This window comes from Homo sapiens, chromosome 4, assembly GCF_000001405.40.
Source record: "Homo sapiens chromosome 4, GRCh38.p14 Primary Assembly".
NCBI lineage: Eukaryota > Metazoa > Chordata > Mammalia > Primates > Hominidae > Homo > Homo sapiens.
This window is the reverse complement of record NC_000004.12, coordinates 98,482,005-98,504,265: the sequence shown is the minus strand read 5'-3', so window position 1 is coordinate 98,504,265 and position 22,261 is coordinate 98,482,005. Positions and strand designations below refer to the sequence as shown.

At 44.7% G+C, this 22,261-nt stretch overlaps 1 protein-coding gene across 7 annotated transcripts in view, besides 1 other annotated feature; it reads left to right on the top strand.

Annotated features, from left to right (window-relative positions):
• TSPAN5 (tetraspanin 5) overlaps window positions 1-22,261 on the top strand; it is a 188,245-nt gene that overhangs the window by 154,346 nt on the left and 11,638 nt on the right. For 5 of the 7 annotated variants that reach the window (NM_005723.4, XM_047449475.1, XM_047449473.1 and 2 more), the window contains 2 exons: window positions 17,382-17,528; window positions 22,091-22,261. In NM_005723.4, coding sequence (NP_005714.2) covers window positions 17,382-17,528; window positions 22,091-22,261 — 318 coding nt within the window. The remainder of the gene's footprint in view (window positions 1-17,381; window positions 17,529-22,090) is intronic. The other 2 variants (XM_005262680.2, XM_047449477.1) reach the window with 1 other exon arrangement.
• Window positions 13,094-13,388: an enhancer, noted in NCBI's record as "tiled region #12770; HepG2 Activating non-DNase unmatched - State 22:ReprW, and K562 Activating DNase matched - State 8:EnhW". NCBI's record gives its function as "activates a minimal TATA promoter and a strong SV40 promoter by Sharpr-MPRA in HepG2 and K562 cells {active_cell/tissue: HepG2 | K562}" and the evidence as "EXISTENCE:reporter gene assay evidence [ECO:0000049][PMID:27701403]".

Sequence of the window (22,261 nt, the reverse complement as noted above, 5' to 3'; positions counted from 1 at the left end):
ATCCCCTAGACCCAGATGTGGCGACATTTACTTGTAAGAGGCCTGGAGGGTAAATCCCCAAACTGGATCATAGCTGGAAGGATGAGATTTCCACTGGAAGAAACACATTTTCTTAGCAGATAGGACTTTCAGCATATTCATGTGAAGTACAGAAGCATTGAAAGCAAAAATGATTACCCCATACTTAATATCAGTCTGAGTTTTAAACCTAGGGCTAATATTGCAGTTCAACATTAGACATAATAATTTAAAGAATTCATTTTGTCTGAGTTTTAAATCAACTGTAAAAATGCAAAGGATGAGTGTCTCCAAGGGAAGCTGATTTATGTGCAATTGTTCAGAGATCATAGGATCTGCTGTTTGGAAGGAACATTAACAATTATGTGACATGAATCACCTCCACAACACCCTTGACAACATCCAGTGACAGTCAACTCATTCATTCAGATAACATTTATTGAGCACATAGCATGGGCAGGGCTTGTGCTGAATTCTAGGGAAATGTGGATGAAGTGACCTAGTTTCAGTCTTCATGGAGTTTATCCAGTTGTAGGAAGGGTGTGTGCATATACCTAAAATAATACACTGCAATAAATGCTACTTAGGGGTGTATATATGTTTAATGGTTCCCACAGCAAAGTGCTCAGCATTTCTGTCTCTTTAGGTTGCCCTTCCTGTTGGAAAGACCTTCATTCCACCGAATTAGAATCATGTCCCACTAGTTTTCACTCATTGATTCTGGATCTACCCTGTTGGATCCCACAGAATAAGTCTTTCCACATGTTAGCCCGGGAGGTATGTCAGGGTGAGGGCCTGGTTCCTTCTGAGTTTCCAGGCTAAACATCTGCTTCTCTCTAGGTGGTCCTCACAGGATGTGGGCTGGAGCCCCTTGTCCATTTTGTTGGTGCTCATCTGGCCCCGCTCTGGTGTCTTTTCTGCACCATGGAGAGGAAGCTTTAGGGGCTGTAGAGAGTGTGGCTGGATTGCGTCCTTTCTCCCCTCATCAATCTAGCTTGGGATCCACTGTAGATCACGGTGTCTGCAGCTCACTGAGAGTCCCAAGTAGGTTGCAGACCCAACTGGTTACCCCATCCACCTCACCTATGGCTGATTTTCATAGGCAGTTGCAGGATTCCACAATGACACAGTGATATTTCAGCCCACCTGTCCACCTGCTGAGATCACTCCAGAGCCTCTATCTAGCATCTTCCCCATTCCGCCCAGCTTGATTTCAGCTATACATTTTGATCAACCTCCTCCCTCTATTCCTTCTGCTAAGGCAGACTGTCCTTTTGCCCCACCATGCCACCTGGGAAAATTCTGATTCAGTAGGTCCAGGATAGACACTGCGATGCTCTATTTTAACAGGCCTACTAGATTGTTGTGACTGCAGTCAAGTTTAGTTATCATTGATAAAAGCCAGTGACATGCTGTTGAGCAGGCCAAGGACAGAGCCCAATGACATGTCACTAGAAATTTCCTTTGGGGTTGACACTCATTCACTTATGTGTGCCCTTGGGTGTCATCAGTCAAGGAGTTTCTCATCCATCTACTTGTCATTACATCAGACTATATTTCTGCATCTTGTCTTTGTAGATAGATGGTATCTTTCACTTTTTCACTGGTTAACTGGCCTAGGCACTTAACTGAACCTAGCACTTTCTTATTGAACCCATGCTGGGTCCTGAAGCACATCATTTTCTCATCCAGGTACTTGGGAACCTTTATCAGCAAAGCAAGGACTAAGGCATAATACATCACTCCTCAATTCGAGAAACGTTTTCCTCACTTGGCTTCCAGGATATCACACTCTCCTGGTTTCCATACCTCACAGGTGGTGCCTTCTCACATGTGTTTGCTAGTTCCACCTCATTTCCCTGACCTCTAAATTTTGGAGTGCCCAAGGCTCAGTCTGAGCTTTGACTCGTCTTAAGAAATCTCATCTAGACTTGGGGCTTTACATGCCATCTGTCACTGATGACTTCCAAATGAATATTTTTGCTTCCAACCTCATCTGAATTCTAGACTTGCATAGCCAGCATCCACACTGAAATGCCTGGTAGGCTTCTGAAACTTAACACATTCAAAACAACACAAGTGATTCTCATGCCCTCCCAACCTGCTCTTCCCAATTGCGGTAAAGAAACAACTCCACTCTTCTACTTGCTCATTCCTGACACTCTGCTTTCTTTTCTCCTCATACCATATTCAGCCCATCAGCAAATACTGTCAGCTCTACTTTGAAACTATATTGAAAATCCGATTTCTTCCACCACCTCCGCTGTTATACCCTGTTCTAAGTGGCCACCACATCTTGCCTGCATTTGTGCAGAAGCCTCCAATTATCTCCCTGCCTCTGCTCTTGCACCCTGACCCTCACCCTAGGGCTGTCTCTGTGCAGCAGCTGGAGTGATCCTTTGGAAATGTAAGACAGATCCTTTTACTTCTCTGCTTCTAGCCCTCCAGTGAGCTTATCTTCTCACTCAAAGCCATATATGGTGCCCATGGCCTGTGTGACATTTGCTTTCATACTGTGTGCTTCCTCACTGTGTCCTATGGTCCTACTTATCAACTTGCTATTCCTCCCGCATCCCAAACATACCCCCACAACCCCAGGGCCTTTGCACTTGCCCCTGACTGGCATGCTCTTCCCCAGAAAACCACATGAGTGCTATCTTCTACTTCCTGGTTTCTTCTCAAATGTCACCTTTGACCTAGCCCTTTCTTCCCCTTCCTTGTGTTTTTCCTTCTCATGCGACTCATCACTTAGACGCTAACAAGTTTATTGCCTGGACTTTTTATTTATTACCACACTCTAGTACCTAGAATGTTAGATGGCACATAGCAAGTATTCAAGAGGTATTGCTTATGAAAGAATGAATGAGCAAATGAGCAATGACAGCATTCTTTAAAACACTGGCTATGTCATGGAGTTATAGAAGTCAGTACTTGCCTCACATCTCCAGTAAGCATACTATATTAGCGATTCTTACAGAATAAAAGGAGGTAAATACGTGTGGTTTCTGAAGTCTGATTTGAGAATAATACGGGGTTAGAAACAAAATATATATATTGTCTATATCAGAAAAGAAGAAAATTACTTCTCTCGTAAAAGTGGAAATCTATATATGATTATCTCATTTCATGGAAAAATTAGGGATGCCATTCCTTTTCCGTTTTGCTCAACTCTTATGCTTATTACTTAGTTCTTAAGTGGGAGCAAGAGGGAGAGTGATCACTCACAATTAGAAATAAAGGTATTGGGGCGAGGGAGGACTCAGCTTTTCAGAGGAGGGAAAATGCCTTTCCCTGGTCCTTAGTGTGAATTGAATGTTCCCATTCTGCCCCTGCCTCCCTAATACAGCACCTAGCCCACTAAGCAGAGTGGATACCTACTCCTGGCTTGTCTGGCCTGGAAACTCCTTGAGGACAGGAGCCTGTCTTTGCCCTTTATTCTCAGTTCCTACCACAATGCCTCCTACACAATGGATGCCCAGAAGCTGTTTGTGACTAAGCCAATGAGAACATGCAAAAAGAGCTTTACACGTTGTAAAATGCTACACAGGAAAAAAATACCACTTTTTATAAAGGAGTTGCATTTGCACTTCCCTGACTTCTGGATCCCCTCAAGTTAACTTTAAGAGAATGACATTCTATTTCATAGGTGGGGAAACCAAGGCACAGAGATGTCAAACTGGAAGTCTGGCCCTCTCCCTCCCAGTCCTCTGGCCAGTCCCCTGTCATCCTCCATTGCACTCACTACGCTGGGTTCTCTAGGGGTGATTGGAAGGAAAGAACTGGTGCCCAGTGCTGATCCCAGTAGGGAGAAGGGGGAATTAGAGGAGCTCTAGCCCCCATATTGCTTTTCTCCTTGGCTTTGCTGTAGATGATGTTTCTTTTTCCTGGAGGGTTTTTCCCAGCCCACTGTCTGTGATTTTAGGTCTCAATGCAGAACACTCCAGTTCTTCCTGTCACAATTATACAGGAGACTCACCTTGGAAAACCTTTCCCTATTTGCCGAGGAAGGAAAATTCAGTGAGATTCATTGATTCAGGAATGTCATAGCAGTACAGGCCAGTTTCTGTTGCCTGAGGGAGGCAATAGAGGAAAATGGTTACTCAGATGACTTGAGCAGAAAAAAATAGATTTCTTAACATTGAAACTTCTTTAAGGAGACATTACTGAGATGCTGAAAATACTTCTATGAAGACTTGGTTTTATTGACTGAAAGTAGATTGTGATTCTTTTCCTCAATTATCCCAATGATTCCCTCAAGTTCTCTGTTGTATCTAAAGAGCTGGAAACCGGCCGGGCGCGGTGGCTCACACCTGTAATCCCAGCACTTTGGGAGGCCGAGGCGAGCAGATCACGAGGTCAGGAGATCGAAACCATGCTGGCTAACACGGTGAAACCCCATCTCTACTAAAAATACAAAAAATCAGCCAGGCATGGTGGCAGGCGCCTGTAGTCCCAGCTACTTGGGAGGCTGAGGCAGGAGAATGGTATGAACCCAGGAGGCGGAGCTTGCAGTGAGCCCAGATCACGCCACTGCACTCCAGCCTGGGCAGCAGAGTGAGACTCCATCTCAAAAAAAAAAAAAAAAAAAAAGAGCTGGAAACCAAACAGCTCATGGTCAGTACCTGGAAGCTATGTGATCTGATGTGCTCTAATCAGTAATGTTTCACACACACATGAAGTATATGGGAAGAAAATTTAATGTTTCTCTATGTATTCCCCTTTAAACTGTATTCAGTGGGGTTTCTTAGGGATGAAAATTTAGTTGGGTCAAAAATTCAATGACTTTGTTGTTCACTCTCAGATATCACAGTCCTTCTCTCACTTTGAGGCACAGATCCAGGCCCAGTGATTAGACAGGGCTGGATAATAAAACTGCAAACCTAACTTTGCATTAAAATGTTCTCCCTGCCGAGCCCATCAGCCTTGGCCCCTGAGGAGGGAAGGGAACATGGGCCCTTGCCCTCTGCATCCTCCTTCTGGCCCCTGGCCCTGCCCAGATGCCTCTGCCCACCGCCTGCCCGGGCAGAAGCTGGGGTGGGCTGTGCTCTCTGGGCCTGGTGGAAGTTAAAGAGGAGAATATCCTGGTCTTTGTGAAGCTCCCCTGCTGAGTCCCTGTGCCTAGTGATTTCCTTGAGCTTGGTAGCCATCTCAATTCCAGGTGACCACCTGGCAGCCCTGCTCATCCCTGGCCACCTTCCTCAGCCAGTGCACCTCTGAGCTCTGCCCTCTGAGGTCACTTCTTCACACGCCTGCAGGCAGCCCTATCTGACAGCGTCCAGGATGACCTCAGGCCACCTCTTCCGTGCTGTCCCCGTGTTTTCTCCAGGACATACTCATCTGGGAGCGAGGTCAGTGCCCCCAGAACAGCCCATTGCCTGTCCTCACCTACTTCTGATACCAGAGCAGCCAGCCGGCCCTTCTCTCTCTAGGTTGCAAGGGCAGGAGGCAGCCCACAGCCCCTTCCTAGGCAGAGTCGGGCCCTAATGGCTGTGCGGGTCAAGTGCAGAGAACCACTTCAGAGCTCCCGGGAGGTGCCCTTGGAACTCCTCCTAAGGTTTAGGGTGAGAAAGAGGCTATCCACACTCCACCCCCAGGCCCTGGGCAGTGGTGTCACAGCACAGCAACTGCTTTCTCCAGAGAAACCTTGCCTCTCAGTCCTCCTCTGACCCCTTTTGTCCCTGCCAGATTTCACCGAGGCGCACAAAAGAAAGATGTCCTTTGTCGGCGGTGGTGGAGGTGGGGTGTGGTTGGGAGGTCTTGTCTCCTACTCACTTTGGTTTTCAGATAGTGATCAGTGAAATCAGAGGCAAGAATGTTATAACATATTGTGTATATTTTTCTTAAAATTTTAGAAACATATGTATGATGTTACGTTGGAAATAAGAATCCTCCTGCCAGCTGCTACCCCAACTTCCAGCAATAGATCACAGGGAGTGGTGTGAACCCTGCTCTTGGGTCAGGCGGCCCAGGCTCAGAACCCTGCTCTGTCACTTCCTGACCTGGGCTACCTGGGCATGTTAGTTCCTCTCTGTGTCTGTCTCCTCACATGGGTAAGAGTGCCTGCCTGGCTGGTTTCTGGTGAGGGTGAAGTAGTCCAGGTAGCCCAGTGCCTGGCTGGAGTCACTGCTGAGAAGTGTAGTTCTTTTGGTGCTGCTTTTATTCAGGCCTTCAGCAGATCTCACCCGGATCACCCCAGAGCCTGCTAGCTGCTTCCACAGCACGTGACTGCCACCTGAGCGGGCTTCTAAATTCAGAAATGGCCTGGAGCTTCCTCTGCTCCAAATGCCCTCAGATACAAACCCAGCCTCGCCCAACCAGCCTCTTCATCTCTTCTCACCGCTTGTCACATAGAGGCCCCACTGGGCCAGATCCTGTCGCTTTGTCTGCACTCTTACTGATGGGACCTTCTGCCCCTCCCCATGCACCCCCATAACACCCACTGCTTGTGCCTCTGCTCCATGCACTCTGTTCTTAACCGTCTCCCCTCTAGACTCAGCTCCTGAGGGTGTCACTGGATGTTTTGCTAGAAATAACCCTTGACTGACATAATACCTGGCAACTCACAGGTGATCCTCATGAAAGTATTTGCTCAATAAATGAACGAGTCTCATATTTTTGAGGTCCCAGAATAGAGGGTCACCTGCCGCTAGTCCAGACTTCACCTTTTTTCACTTGAGTTTAGGGGCACCATGATCAGAGCCTGTTTTAGCTCAGGCTGCTGTAACAAAATACTATAGACTGGGTGGCTTAAATAACAAACATTTCTCTCTCACAGTTCGCCAGGCTGGGAAGTCCAAGATCAAGGTGGTGACAGATTCAGTTCCTGGCGAGGGCCCTCGGTTTGCAGCCGCCTTTTTGCTGTGTGCTGGCATGGCAGAGTGAGAGAGGGAGGGCCCTGGTCTCTTCCTTTTCTTTTTTTTTTTTTTTTTTTGAGATGGAGTCTCTCTGTGTCACCCAAGCTGGAGTGCAGTGGCACGATCTCGGCTCACTGCAACCTCCGCCTCCTGGATTCAAGCAGTTCTCCTGCTCAGCCTTCCGAGTAGCTGGGACTACAAGGCGCACGCCTGGCTGATTTTTGTATTTTTAGTAGAGACGGGGTTTCACTGTGTTGGCCAGGCTGGTCTCAAACTCCTGACCTCATGATCTGCCCGCCTCAGTCTCCCAAAGTGCTGGGATTACAGGTGTGAGCCACTGTGCCCAGCCTCTTCCTTTTCTTATAAAGACACTAATCCCATCATGGGGGTCCCACCCTCATGACATCTTCCAAACCTAATTACCTCCCAAAGGCCCCACCTCAAAATACTACCACACGGGGGCTTAGGGTATCAGAATGTGAATTTGGGGGAGTCACGAACATTTAGTCCATACCAGAACCTCTATTAAATCTTTCAGCTTAAACTTTACACCTAGGCTGGAATGTTTCTAGGTATGTCTCCCGTCTTCTGAATGTAAATGAAAATATCTGGGAATGGCTGAGAACATGGGTGATTTCTGAAAGGCTGCGCTTTTGCATGTGGCTGTTTCCACGCTGATGGGGCAGTGGCTCTCACCAGAGTGTGTAGAGATGGTAGTTTCCCTGCCTGTGAGCAGTGCCACCTGATGGAACTTGGTACCGCTGGCCTCCCCAGCAGCTACTTGATTGCAGGATTGTATGGAGACCTAAAAGATGACTACCCCTCCTTCTCCTCTTCTCCTCAAAGGCAGGTCATGGCCACTTTTTAATCTGCAAAAAAAGGATTACTTGAGTTTCACTAATGACCTTTTTTGACAAGAAAAAATGGGAAGGAGCCATGCACCTTTGAAGCAGCTAGTCGTCTTTTATCCTTGTATCTCTTTGCCAGGCATGAACTAAGCTGCTCTTGCTCCCTTACATCTCCCTGGACTGTTCAGGGCCTGACAGGCTTTCTTCTCATTCCTAGTCGTCACTCTGGCCTCTGCAGCAGTTCCTTAGATAGATGGATGTTTGGAGTTTTACAGAGTGGCGGAGCATCTTTGACAAGTTTTTATAGGGGCAGGTTCCTCTGTGGCCCTGTGGTCTCTATTTGTTCTTACTGTGCATACTGTTTAGAACCACATTTCTAACTCTCCAGGATCACCCCTCGCTGAGTAGCTGTATTTTCTTTGAAATGTCATTCCTCGTTACCCTTTCTCACTAGGGAAATCCTTCTCTATCTCTTACTCTAGGAAAACTGTTGTCAGTAGGATCTGGTTTATGGAGGGGTTGGTGAATCAAGAGCTAGTCTCATAAATCTCAAAGGGGTCCATCTGGCCCAGCTTTGGGTACACATTTCATAGGCCTGTCTCTCTCTCTTTCTTATCCAGCAGTTGGAAGGAATGTGCTTGTATATGCAAAAGCAGAAGAGTCCCAGACCTTGGGGTTTATTAATGCTATTTTTGTATTTCTTTTCTGTGTGGGTTGCGAGAAGAAGCTTGCCAGGTGGCACACAGAGGCTCCTCTGTGCTGGTGATGAAAAAAAAAAACACAGACACTCCTGAAGTTTATTGGTGTGGAACCCTTCTGGAGTTTTGTTTGCCTTTTCGTTTCTGCATGTGCATAGAAACCTCTTTCAAGAAGAAATAGTTACTCAGAACATATTCCTTTATTGCAGAAGCATGGGGAAGAAGCTGCTTAAATTCCAGAGACAGCTGAATGAATAAGGCACTAATGAGGAGAGGGAAGGTTAGCTGGTTTGTCCTTTTTTTTTTTTTTTTTTTTGAGACGGAGGCTCTCTCTGTCTCCCGGGCTGTAGTGCAGTTTCGCAGTCTCAGCTCACTGGCGTGGGCAAGGTCCGCCTCCCGGGTTCATGCCATTCTCCTGCCTCAGCCTCCCGAGTAGCTGGGACTACTCCCACCACCACACCTGGCTAATTTTTTGTATTTTTAGTAGAGACAGGATTTCACCACGTTAGCCAGGATGGTCTCGATCTCCTGACCTCTTGATCCACCCGCCTCGGCCTCCCAGAGTGCTGGGATTACAGGCATGAGCCACTGCGCCTGGCCGGTTGGCTGGTTTTTCACATTCTTACTGAGACATACTGTGTTCATCAAACCACTGAACAGCCAGATCTAACGGGGATAGAACATAGTTCAGCCACTGGAAGGTCACTCCAGAGTGGTGACTGACAACCAGTGTGCCAGTCAGCACCCCAGCAACAGAGGTATCCTTGCTCCTGGTTCCATGTGCCACCATCGTGGCAGCACCACTGCTGTCTTACCGCAGTCACTGACTCCTCCCTGCTTTCTTCTCTGCTGCACCACTTCTCAGTACCCTAAGCTTCCACCACTCATGGCTTCTGCCTACTCCTGGCTTCAGCTTCCTCATGGCCTCCCTCTTCTGCCTTTTCTCTCCATGTCTTAGATTATTTCCAATTCCCCCCAAAAGAAGATCTTATTAACAAGTTAGTGACTGTCACCTCTGTTAGGCATGATCATCAACTGTGGCCATGGCTTTCCTTAGAGGGGGTCAGGCAGGGCAAGTACCCAGAGCAAAACAGTTTCTTCTCCAGTGCAGTTGGGTTAGACACTCCTCCTGGGTGCCTCTACAGTGTCTGGTGTCTTCTTCTTGTTCTAATAATTATATTATTAATATAATAGTGATAACAGTGATTATGGCAATATACTTTTATTTAATTCTTATTATATTCGAAGCACTTCACATCGTGTTTGGATTTACTTGGATTGTTTCCATCATCCTCATAATAACCTTAGGACATAGAGTACCATTTTCACAGATACAGAAATTGAGGCTTAGGCAGATGAGGTAATCTGCCTAAGATGACACAGGTAGTAAGTGCGATCTTAGGCAGGTTACTTCATCTGCCTAAGCCTCAATTTGGCTTAGCATTGGGATTCAAGACAAGCTAGTCTGTATTAGTGTCTGTCTGTTTGTCTGTCTCCCCCATTGTCCAGGCTACCCCACTTTCTGAGTTTTGGATTTACTTGGATCCCAGGGGATATTGGAGGTGAGCCTCATTGGCTTAAGTACAGTTCAGGATGGTTTGTTCAGGAGGAGGTTGATTCTGGAATGCTCTCTCTGCCCCACTCTAGAGCAGGCTAGTCTAAGTGGCTGGAATATCAGAGTCTCCCTTGTACCACGATGGGTGCAAATGGATACATTGTTGCTTGTTGGCTCTCTAAACTTCTGTTACAATCCTATTGCCTCAGACATGGACCACTAATGTGTCTTATTTCTTCTTAGACATATACTGGTCTCTTTGCTAAGTTATGAGAGATGCTGTCTGGTACCTAGTGGATAATGGAAATCTCCTATTGCAGAATCATCTCTTAAAGGCTTCAAGTGGATATGCCAGAGTTAGTTGTCCAAAAGCTAATTTGCAGAATGGCCAATTTGTTGAATATATTTTTTTCTTTCAACTTTTTAAATTGACTGCTATTCATTTTGTCTTTATAGCAGCACTTTATGTTATGGTCAATTTGTTTTTTGCCTCTGCTGCCTGCTGCAACAACAGCTGTAGACCTCAGAGGCAGGAGAAGAGAAGATTAAGGATCCTAAGAAGAATATTGACATAGCATATAGTCTGCATACGAAGAATTCTTATGAATATATTCATTTATATCAGTTCTTACTAATAAAATTTTAATGTATTAATAAGATATATGTAGAGGAATTCTTCCCACATAGCATTCTGAATCGATCATCTTGAATATATTTTTCTCATCACCTGCAGTCTTGGTCTCTGGCTCTCTCTCATTCTGAATCTTTCTGTTTCTGCTACTACTGTTCAGAATCTCACTTTCATATGTCAACTAAAACGGATGGAAATAACTGTGTGTGGCCCGTTACTCTGCTTCTCACTCATTTATCCTTGTTCCAGTTAGGTTCAGCTTCATGGGATATTTTCTGATGTTATCTGCGAAGTCTAGTACCCTTGACATCTTTAGCCCCCAGGGCTTGCTATGCTTGTAGGATTCAGGTAGGAGAAGGATGAGAACTTCCTATGGAATATAGATGCCAAGCTCTGTGTGTGCACTTCTGGCATAAACAGGTACAGAAGAGAGTAGTCAAATAACATTTTGTATTTATTTACTTATTTATGTTTTATTACTTTTTGAGATGTGATTTCACTCTGTTGCCCAGGCTGGAGTGCAGTGATGTGATCATGGCTCACTGCAGCCTCCAACTCGTGGGCTCAAGTGATCTTTCTGCCTCAGCCTCCCAAGTAGCTAGGACTACAGGCACACACCAGTGTACCTGACTTATGTTTAAATTTTTTCTAGAGATGGGGTCTTGTTTTATTGCCCAGGCTGGTCTCAACTTCTGGCTTCAGGCAATCCCCCTACCTCGGCCTCCCAATGTATTGATTTTTTTCCGTGTTTGAGGTTTTAAAAGTTGGTATTTAAACTCAAGGGCTGAACATTCAAGTTTACATGCAGAATTGGAGGTTAAACCATGTTATGCATTATTTGTCAGTAACATAGACAAATCACCTAAAAGTTCCATAAGAGTTCCACAGAACTGCTCATTTCATTGATGATGCTGAATTCATAGTGAGTTAACATGAATGAGACTGTTTACACCGGCTTAATTACTACGTTGACTTGAAATATCAGCCAGCTGGGGAAAATGACCATTTAAAACCTGGCACATCCCTTTGCTCCCTATACCCACATTTTTTCCCAGCTTCGACCACGTGCGTGTGTCTGTGTGTCTATGTGCATGTCTGTGTGTGCGTTTACGTGCATGGAGGACTGAAGCATAGTGTATTCAAAGCTTTTGTGTTGTGCAGGACTTCGCAGATGCAAATGAAGACCCAAAGAGAACCAGCATAAGCAATCAAGGGAGTGTATCTAAGGCTCCTGGAGTGACACATAGAGCTCTAGGGCAGGCCTCAGGAACCACTGGACTGGGGATTTATAATGCTGTCTGGATTTTCCCTCCCTACTCTTGTTCTTTGTTTCTTCTTGAGCGCGGTTTTCTGCTTCTCACTGCTGTCTGACTTTCTCCACTTGGTAGGAAATATGACATGCTTCACAAGGCTCTGGAGTTTGGCATTTTAGAGTCTCAGCCACTAGAGAAAGGTGCCTGTTCTAAATCCTGGCACTTTAGGAAGGGAATCCAGGCTTCTCAGCCCTCACCAGGCCAGCAGGATTGTATGAGATCTTGGCAGCTCTGAGGGGTCATGGAGTGAAAGGAGGGGCGAAGGCATCCTTACAAGGAGGAGGTGGTGCTGTTCCCAGAAGAGGCGGGGGCCTCAGGTTCCCAGAAGACTAGGTGTCTGCTGGTGGTGTTCTTGCACATTCCTAAGGATTTACTGTGAATCTGGTGCCTGTTTTAAATTGCTTGGCAGACTTAACTGTAATCTTAGATTTTTTTTCTTACAGCTTCTTGTCAACTACAAGGTTTAATTATAATTACTCTTCAGCAGGCATATACTAGCACTTCTTACTCATCTGTCAAATTGAGCTGAATGAAATTAAAAAGTCCAGAAAGAGACCCCATCTTTAGGACAACAGAAGACTGAACAGTCAACTCCCTATCATTTTTGTAATCCAAATCACTGTTGTCAGGATTATGTTCCCCCCCACCTTTTTTTTTTTTTTTAGACAGAGTCTTGCTCTGTCACCAGGCTGGAGTGCAGTGGCTCAATCTCAGCTCACTGCAACCTCTGCCTCCTGGGTTCAAGCGATTCTCCTGCCTCAGCCTCTCGAGTAGCTGGGATTACAGGCAGGTACCACCACGTGCAGCTCATTTGTGTATTTTTAGTTGAGACTGGGTTTCACTGTGTTGGCCAGGATGGTCTCGATTTCTTGACCTCATGATCTGTCCGCCTTGGCCTCCCAATCCCTCTGTGTAGTCAAAAGCAATAAAACTGCTGCTCTTCAGTGAATGTTGGGAAATTGTGCACAGATGAAAGAATAAGTCTGTTTTTTTTCTCCTGCTAGGTAAGTAATCCCTAATTTTCCCTAATCCCAAGGGGAAAAATACTGGCCATTGGGCATTGACTTCCACATTCACTTCTTGTGTTTCAAGATTTGAGGTAGTGATGATGGCTAATAATATATTCTTGAAAAATGCCGAGTGGATGTAAAGTGTTCTCACCACAAAAATGATAACTATGTGAGGTAATGCACATGCTAACTAGCCAGATTTAGTCATTCCACTATTTATATATACACGCACCTCAAAACATGGACATGTACAATACATACAATTTTTTTTTTTTCTGAGGCAGAGTCTCGCTTTGTCACCCAGGCTGGAGTGCAGTGGTGCGATATCGGCTCACTGCAAGCTCCGCCTCCCGGGTTCACGCCATTCTTCTGCCTCAGCCTCCCGAGTTGCTGGAACTACAGGCGCGTGCTGCCACGCCCGGCTAATTTTTTGCATTTTTAGTAGAGACGGGGGGTTTCACCATGTTAGCCAGGATGGTCTCGATTTCCTGACCTCGTGATCTGCCCGCCTCGGCCTCCCAAAGTGCTGGGATTACAGGCGTGAGCCATCAAGCCGGGCCAATACATACAATTTTATGTCCATTTCAGTTTTTTAAAATTTTAAAATAATTTTAAATAAGTAGATAAAGGATATATTCTTTTCACCCAGGAAAAAAAAGATTTGAGTTAGTTTTCAACTGATAACTACGTGGGTATATTCTGAATCCATTAAAAATAAAGTTCTTGGTAGTCTTTCCTATGCTTTGTGGGAGATTAGTTCCCCCCAGCACGCTGTAGTATCTGTTTGCAGCTCTATCTTTGCCAGAATTTAGGATTAAATAAGTAGAATCTGCAGTCCAGCTCAGCCCCCCAATGATTGTTGTTTCCGTGGAAACAGTTGAAGGCTCTCAATTAAAACTGCCTCTGAAGGCTGGAGAGAGTAAGTATTAAAATGAGTTTGTCTGAGAAGCCAATTTTTATCCTCCAAATTAAACCCAGAGAGTGCAGATGATCTAGGAATCTCCTGACAGTTGGGATCATACTTCTTTGTCTTTGGGGGAGGGATTATTTTGCTATTTCGGGCATAGGTATGTTTGCTAGCTTGTTGCTTGCTTTGCTGAGTTGCTCAGATCATCGTCTTTGTTACCCACTGAGCTCTTTATGTACAACCATGGATCATGGGCAAGGGTTTGGGAGCAATCTGATCTTTGTTCAGACTTGTGAGCCGCAACTAAAAAGCCCATTAAAAATGGATGAAATCATAGAACGGTCTCAAAGTTGAAAGGAATCCTAAAGGTCATTAAGGCCTAATTTCCCATCCACTTTGGGAATCTTTCCTAGAATGCTGTTGACAAAGGTTCACAGCATCAGCAACCCTGTTGGGGAATCCCGTATTTCTCAGGGCAGCCTTCTTTGGTTCATTGAACAGACTTGGTGGTATTGTTACCGGGGGTCCTTGTTCTTAGAGCTCCCAAGATGGTGGCGGGCCGCTTCCAAGGTGGCGGCAAGCCTCTTGTTCTCTGACCTGGGGTTCTTGGCCTCACGGATTCCAAGGAATGGAATCTTGGGCCATGCATGCGGTGAGTGTTATAGCTCTATCCAGCTCGATTAGGATGAACCCTGGGCACTTAGACCGTGCAGGAACAATGGCGAGCCTCTAGCCCGATTAGGAGTGGCAGTGGGCACCTCGCTGGATCAGGAGCACAGCGGATACCCTGCCGGATCCGGAGGGGTGGAAGTCAGTGGTGGCTTCTACAACGACGGCAATCAGCAGTGGTGGACGGCGAGTGAAAGCTCAGTTCGAACCAGAACAAACACAGACCAGAGAGTGTGCAGTTTGCAAGATTTAATAGAGTGAAAACAGAGCTCCCATACAACGGGAGGGGACCCAAAGGGGTTGCCCACTCCCTGCTTGAATGCCTGAGTTTATATCTCGATCATTGTCCCTCCCCCTGTGCTCTCAGGCGATATATGATTTGACAATTTCTTTACCTCCTGCTTTAGCCTAATTTGTATTTTAGTGAGCCTATTTACTACCTGATTGGTTGGGTGTGAGCTGAGTAGTTACAAGCCCCATGTTTAAAAGTGGGTGCGGTCACCTTTCCCAGCTAGGCTTAGGAATTCTTATTCGGCCTGGGAAATCCAGCTAGTCCTGTCTCTCAGTATTAGAAATGCCTCTTTATGATGGAACTGACATTTCTCTCTGTCAATTCTGCTACTGCTACCTCTTCTTTCTGGTGCCAAGTTAGCTGTGTCTTCTTCTCCCATAATTAAGCTTAAAGTCTTTTAAGAATGTCTTCATGTATCCCCAAAGTCTTCTCTCTCTTCCGGTGGCTGAGAAGGTCCATAACCTGAAAGCTTCAGGTACTAACATCTGTGGTTAAAGGCATTGTCAGAGGAGAGGCTGGTTTCCTAACAACCCTGGGCCTTTAGCACTGTTGCTTGGATTTTTTATTTTAAGTTTATTTTTGTAGAGAAAGGGTCTCGCTATACTGCCCAGGCTGGTCTCAAACTCCTGGCCTCAAGCGATCCTCCCACTTCAGCCTCCCAAAGTGTTGGGATTACAGGTGTGAGCCACTCCACCCAGCCTGTTGCTTGGATTTTGTCCGACTTCTCTGGCAAGTTTTTTCTCAGCATCATTTGTATAGGTGGAGAATTTGGTTTGAGTATTTCTGTTTTCCTTCAACCTTTTCCCCCGGAGTAAATATTCATAGTTCACTGCTTGGAAACCCAAGAAACAAAATTGGATCAAACCTTTGGTCTATGCAGACTTGTGAAGGGTGTGGTTGCCTTCTTTGATGTCACCTCAGAAGTTAATGAATACAACCTCAATCCTAACTGCTTTAATAGCCTTTCAACCATTTGTCTGTGACATTAAACCTTAGACTTTTTAAAATTAGGTTTAAGTTTTACATTATAAGAGTTCTTTATTTCCCCATATACATTCTGTTCTTAATATCCTATTATTGTTCGTAAGTTGACACCCCCCTAAAGGAAGAAACAGACAGAAAAATAGAACAAACGAAATACGCTTCTCCAAATGTTCCTACCTACAACCTTTAAATGGATTAAAACTTAAAACTCCTAAGTTCAGATGTTGGTTAGTGCTGACTGGGAAGTACTGGGAAGCAAGTGTGTGGCCCCTGCTTGGTACTGAAATAGACATTGTGTACTGGTTTCAAAGAAGCGATGGCGTCTGTCACCTTCAGCCCATCACCAAACTGCTCTGAGTTCCATTTTCCTCAAGTATAAAATCAGATGATTGCTTCCTGTTCTTACAGGTTATTGGGAGTGCTTTGAAAACAATTTTTTTTTATTATTAAGGCTTTACAGCAAACTATACTGTGATTCTCTGGAGGTATTTTGATTTGAGAGTACCAAACAACTTCAATAAAATTAAAATATTGGTGATATTGGCTGTTTAAGGCCCATGCACATCCACAGTTTCAAAATAATCTTGTAACATAGGTTCTGGGTGGTATTTAATATGGTATCACACATAAGGGAAGAGGGGATTTCAGTAAAGAAATGTCATTTTTTGTGGAAAAGTGAAATTACTCGAGGTCCGTTTGGTGTTCTTGTGGAAGAAGAATAAGAGTTGAAAGTGAGGAAGTAACCTTTGATTTGTAAATCATTTAAATTTCAACTCGAAGGGGGTAAGAAATACCCCAACAGCAAGCCACAGAACAGCCACCAGAGCAAACCACACAAGGCTTTTGGGATCTCAGCCTAATAAAGGTCTCCCATGGAGCTCAAGAGTAGATCCTGAGGTACGATATTTTCTTGGAAAAAAAAAACTTGTAGGTGTTTGTAGCCGGACCGGGTGCTGTGTTAGTTTTCAGCTTCTAGCTCGATCCTATTTCCTGAGAAATGCCAAGGGCTTTGCAATAGGCATTTGTCTAACTTCTGCGTGAATTGGGTCTTACAGAAGATGACCTCCCCCCTCTCTGGGGGTCAGGGGGTGTGTGTGTTTTTTATACATCTGTCTTTTTTTGTTTGTTTGTTTTTACTGAAGACCTCTTATATTTGCAGACACTGAAACCAAAGGTAACACCACGTCTTCTCCTTACAGGGTCTAATGACAGTTTCTTGGGCTCTTCTTTTCTTTTTTTTTTTTTTTTCTCTACATATAGTTTTCCCAAAAATATGAACACGTTTAGATGTTGGAAAGAAAGCAGTTTCCCTCCCTCCTTCCCTCCATCCCCCCCTCCCTCCCTTCCTCGCTTCCTCCCTTCCTCCCTTTTGTTTCTCTCTTTTCTCTTTCTCTCTCTTTCTCTTTCTTTCTCACTCTTTCTTTCTCTTTCTCTTTCTCTCTCTCTTTCTTTCCTCTCTTAAGTATTAATCACATACCTGATAATCAGATGCCCTCTGAAGGTTTTCTTTGGGAGGGGAAAGGACAAATGCAATAATCTTTACATGTTGGAAAACTGACCCCACATCCCCGTGCCTTGTTGTGTGTTCTTTTCTGCTCCCAGGGAGTTCTGTCCAACATCTCTTCCATCACCGATCTCGGCGGCTTTGACCCAGTTTGGCTCTTCCTTGTGGTGGGAGGAGTGATGTTCATTTTGGGATTTGCAGGGTGCATTGGAGCGCTACGGGAAAACACTTTCCTTCTCAAGTTTGTAAGTATTCCACTCTCTACTCTCAGATTGAGAGCCAAAACTTTACCTTCCATCAGGAGGTCACCCTATCTACAGGCAAGACAGTGAGCTGTACCAAAGGCACTGGCCAAAGTAGGGCCCAGGTCATTATTTTCTTTTGAGAGAGCTCTCTAGCCCTGATTCCCAGTTGTGCCTCCTTAATAAGTACAACACCACCCCCACCACCCCACCATGCCATCCATGGAGGTTTTGTGCATATATATCACAGACTTGGATTCCATTCCCTAAGATATCTTTAGGACTAAGGTAGGTATATATATATATTTTCTTCTAAGTGATTCCTTCCCACCGTTTTAATGCACATAGTAAGTGGGGAGCTGTGCAGGCTGTTGGTTTGGAGAAACCAGGCAAAAGCACAGTGACTGTGGCCTGTCCAGATTAAATCTGTTAAGCAGTAGGTTTTGCTAAATATGGAGAAACAGTAAAAGGTAAAGCTTCTTTGTCCTTAGCTGGTACAAAGTTCTCCTTTGTAATTTTTAGATGTGGTGCGGTTGGCGTGATCACTGTCTGAGTGAATGTTTGTAGAGGAGAGGTTTCACCAGGGGGTTCACTGGTATTTAAAGTTAAAATAGAGAATGAAAAGTGAAAGCCTTTGCGTTGGAGACTCGTTTCAAAGGAGAAGAAAATGGCATGTGCCGTTTATGTATCTTATATAGGGTTGTTGAATGTAGCCAAATGTGCCTGTCAGCATGGAGCTTGGCACTCTGATGGGCGTCTGAATCATAGCTCTCTATACGAAGCATCCATTCCCCTTTCTAAGAACAGAGAAAGGATCCAAAGCACCCACCTTCATTTGCTGAGGAAGGATGGGGATGGTGGAGATTTCTAGAGAACAGTTGTAGTGTAATATTTCCTGTTACCACAGTTATTCCCAACTTTTGTTGACACATCATCATCCAGGGACATTCTCATTAAAAAAAAAAAAAAAAAAAAAAAGCATATCCAAGAAGTAGCCCAATAGTCATGTAATGTGTGATTCTCTTCCCCAGCATTTCTGCCACATCATCCTCCAGCGTCTTTTCTTAAACATCCCTGAGAAGAGGGTACACGGTGTGCCCCACCCAGGGCAGCCCATTTCTGAGCAGCTCTGTCTCGGAGAAGTTTTTGGAGGCTATTTAACCTGAAAATTAGCATGACTTATTCTAACAAGGAGAACCGAGGGGTACCTGGTCTTACAGATAAGTTCACAAGCAGCTGGTTCTCTCTTGTGGATACATGGGACCACAGTGGCTGTAGCTAGTTTCCTAAGACTCCATCTGCCTTATCTGCCAGATCCTTCCTTTGCCACACACACACACACAGTGTCTCTCTCTCTCTCCCTCCCTCTCTCATACACACACAACCAAATGCTTCATTCTTCACCTAGTCAGAAACCTGGGGAGCCCCCAGGAGAGCTCTGTCCCTGATTGCCACCTGCCAACCTGCCAGTCTTCTTGGCTTGAGGCATCTCAGTGCTCCAGTGCTCAGCTCACCTTGCCAGCTTTCCTGTAGCCTGATTGGGTCCTGGTCATACTCATCTGTTGCCACTATTTCATCAGTTTCGGCCTCCATGCCCCAAAATGTGGGATCCTTTTTTTTTTTTTTTTAGATGGAGTTTCACTCTTGTTGCCCAGGCTGGAGTGCAATGGTGTGATCTCGGCTCACTGCAACCTCTGCCTCCTGGATTCAAGCGATTCTCCTGCCTCAGCCTCCCGGGTAGCTGGGATTACAGGAGCCTACCACCGTGCCTGGCTAATTTTTTCATTTTTAGTAGAGATGGGGTTTCACCATGTTGGCCAGGCTGGTCTCAAACTCCCGACCTCAGGTGATCCACCCGCCTCAGCCTCCCAAAGTGCTGGGATTACAGGCGTGAGCCACCATACCTGGCTGGGATCCTCTGAATTGTATTTTTTTTTTTTAAGTAAAGATGGGGTTTCACCATGTTGGCCAGGCTGGTCTTGAACTCCGGACCTCAAGTGATCCACCTTGCTCAGCCTCCCAGAATGCTGGGATTACAGGCATGAGCCACTGCACCTGCTCAGTCCCCTTAATTGTGATTTACTTTAATATAGTTTCATTTATAGTGGTGGCCCCTTTAATATAGTTTATCATTTCTTACAGTTGAAGAGTCCAGTGTTAACTGAACAGGCAGAAAACTACACATTTCTCTAAATCAGCACCTTAATTTATAAAGTCTCATGTTGGAAATGAAGAGAATTGTGTTGTTTCTTGGCTTTTAAGACTTGGAAAATATCTTAAATGGCCTCTCTCCATTTAGGACAAACAATAAAAACTTGCCTGGAATAATCTTCGAACAGAAGGTATGAGATAAGTAGTAAGTAAACGTCCACAGGACTCCAAATAGCTCTAAAGATCTGATTCCCCTAGGAGACTTGCTGAGGGAAAATCTAGGAACTAAGATACTGCAAAATGGAAATAGACCTTCTTGGTTGACCGAGGCTCTAGGGTGAAGCCTGTGAGTCAGTGTCTGCACCTTTGGAAATAGAGGAAATTAGCTCAACAGGGCTTGGGGCATGTAGGTATCTGCCAAATATTTTATATGAATTGAATTTGGACTCAATTTTTGGTATGTATAATATGTAACATGAAGAGAAAATTTACCAGGGGAACTGGAAAATGCACTTAACTTTTATGGAGGTGAGAACAAAAACTGAATTAAAATCTTTCCCTGACTTGGTGTTTCCTGTGTATGCTCATGCATGCTAGCTATAATTTTGTCATTTCTGTACTGTGATAATTCATAATTCATATTTACATGCTTAAGGTGGGGCCTAATACAGGGCAGGGCGTTATTTACACTGTAGGGTAGGCATTGAGCAGAAGTGGTGTGATATTTTTTCTGTTCATTTTTCTAGATTGGGGAAAGTTTAAATTGAAATTATTGGCATCACTGATGATAATTAAGAACTGTTTAAATTCCATTTCTGGCGAATTCCTGAAGGATATATAATCAGGAACTCTAGGGAAACCTGAAGGGCTGAGCTGGAGGGTCTAGAATTGGGGCCTTAACCTGGGAGTCCAAAAACTTTGCCAAACACTTATTTCCACCTTCCACTCCTCCTCCCGTGCCCACCCTCACAGAGCAGTACTTGGCACCCTAGACAAATACTGCCAGATCTACAGACATCTAATGTCTGCAGATACCCACTCCCTGCCTAGCCTCCCTAATCACATAAGACTGGGACATCTTCGAAGGCAAGGATACCCCTTGTTCTTACTCATCCTTGTTTCTGCAAAGCCCACCTACCTCAGGGCCTGACTCATTGTGGGTCATTCAGTAGATGTTTGCTGAATGAATAAACATTGTTTGTCTTTTGTTCTTTTAATGAGTAACTGCTGTTTCCTTTGCACCCCTCCCCAATACATTTTTCTCTTGGCTGGCAGCTCCTTGTCTGCTTGCTGAAGATAGAACCGCAGACCACCTGAGCACCCCCTGCCTCCTCAGCTGCTCACTGTTCTTCTGCATGTGGCCTTCAGGACCTCTGCCCAGCAGTTGTGGCCCATGTCACCCTCTCTGCTGTTGTCACCAGAAATTTACCCGCACTGTACCCTCTGGTCCTTCACAGCTCATTTCTCATAATCTATTTTAACAACAAAGTTTGAGAAGGTTAAGAATACAGGATGGTAGGAGGTGGAAAAAACAGTGGGCGTGAGCAGTAAGTCGATATGACTAAGCTGAGACTCTTCTGAGTCTTCTAGATGGAAGGGGAATTTCTCCAGAGTTACGGGCAGTTACCACGTTGCCTCATGGTCTTGAGCCCCTCTTTTAAAACCCCTGTTGTCTACATTAAGCGGAAGTCTCCCCTTGGCTGCATTTTGATGTCACTTAAAATGTTGCTGGGGCCCATGCTTCCTAGAGGAAGGCAAGCACAGCTAGCATTCCCAGGAAAGCCCTCAACTCAGGGGTTTCATTTTGTTTTTATGATGGGAAATAACTTTCATTTCGCGGTCACTGCCCACCCCACTACTTCCTCTTTGACCCCTTCATCTAAGATGAACACATCTGTTATTTTACCCTGTATAGCAGGTGCAAAAGAGAATTAAAATGGTGTCTGAATCCATAAAAGGAATATATTGCATAGAGAATCAAGGCCACAGTAACAAGTGACAGGCGATCTTAAAATATTGGAATAATCTATCTTTCAAGTTACAGAAGCTTACTAGAGATAGGGGCAGGTCATTGTTACAAGCATCTGGCAGTACATTAATCATGAGAAATTAATTAGGCCTTAATGTGGGTCTAATGAGAAATCCTTATTATCCATGTTTGCTTATGGGCTTTGTTGGTTAATTATCAAATGGAACACTAGAGACCCTAAAATGTGATTATAAAATGATTTTTAAAAGTCCTTTCTTGGAGTGTAATATTCTATTAATGAATCAGCAGAAACTGAAGATTATCTGCTTTGGAGATGTGTAACAATCCAATGTAATTACAAACCTGTTTAGAGAGGAACCATTTAGCTATATATGATCAAAATAGCCCTTATAACTGTTCTCTGTGTATGTGTCTTTTATCTTAGTTTTCTGTGTTCCTGGGAATTATTTTCTTCCTGGAGCTCACTGCCGGAGTTCTAGCATTTGTTTTCAAAGACTGGATCAAAGACCAGCTGTATTTCTTTATAAACAACAACATCAGAGCATATCGGGATGACATTGATTTGCAAAACCTCATAGACTTCACCCAGGAATAT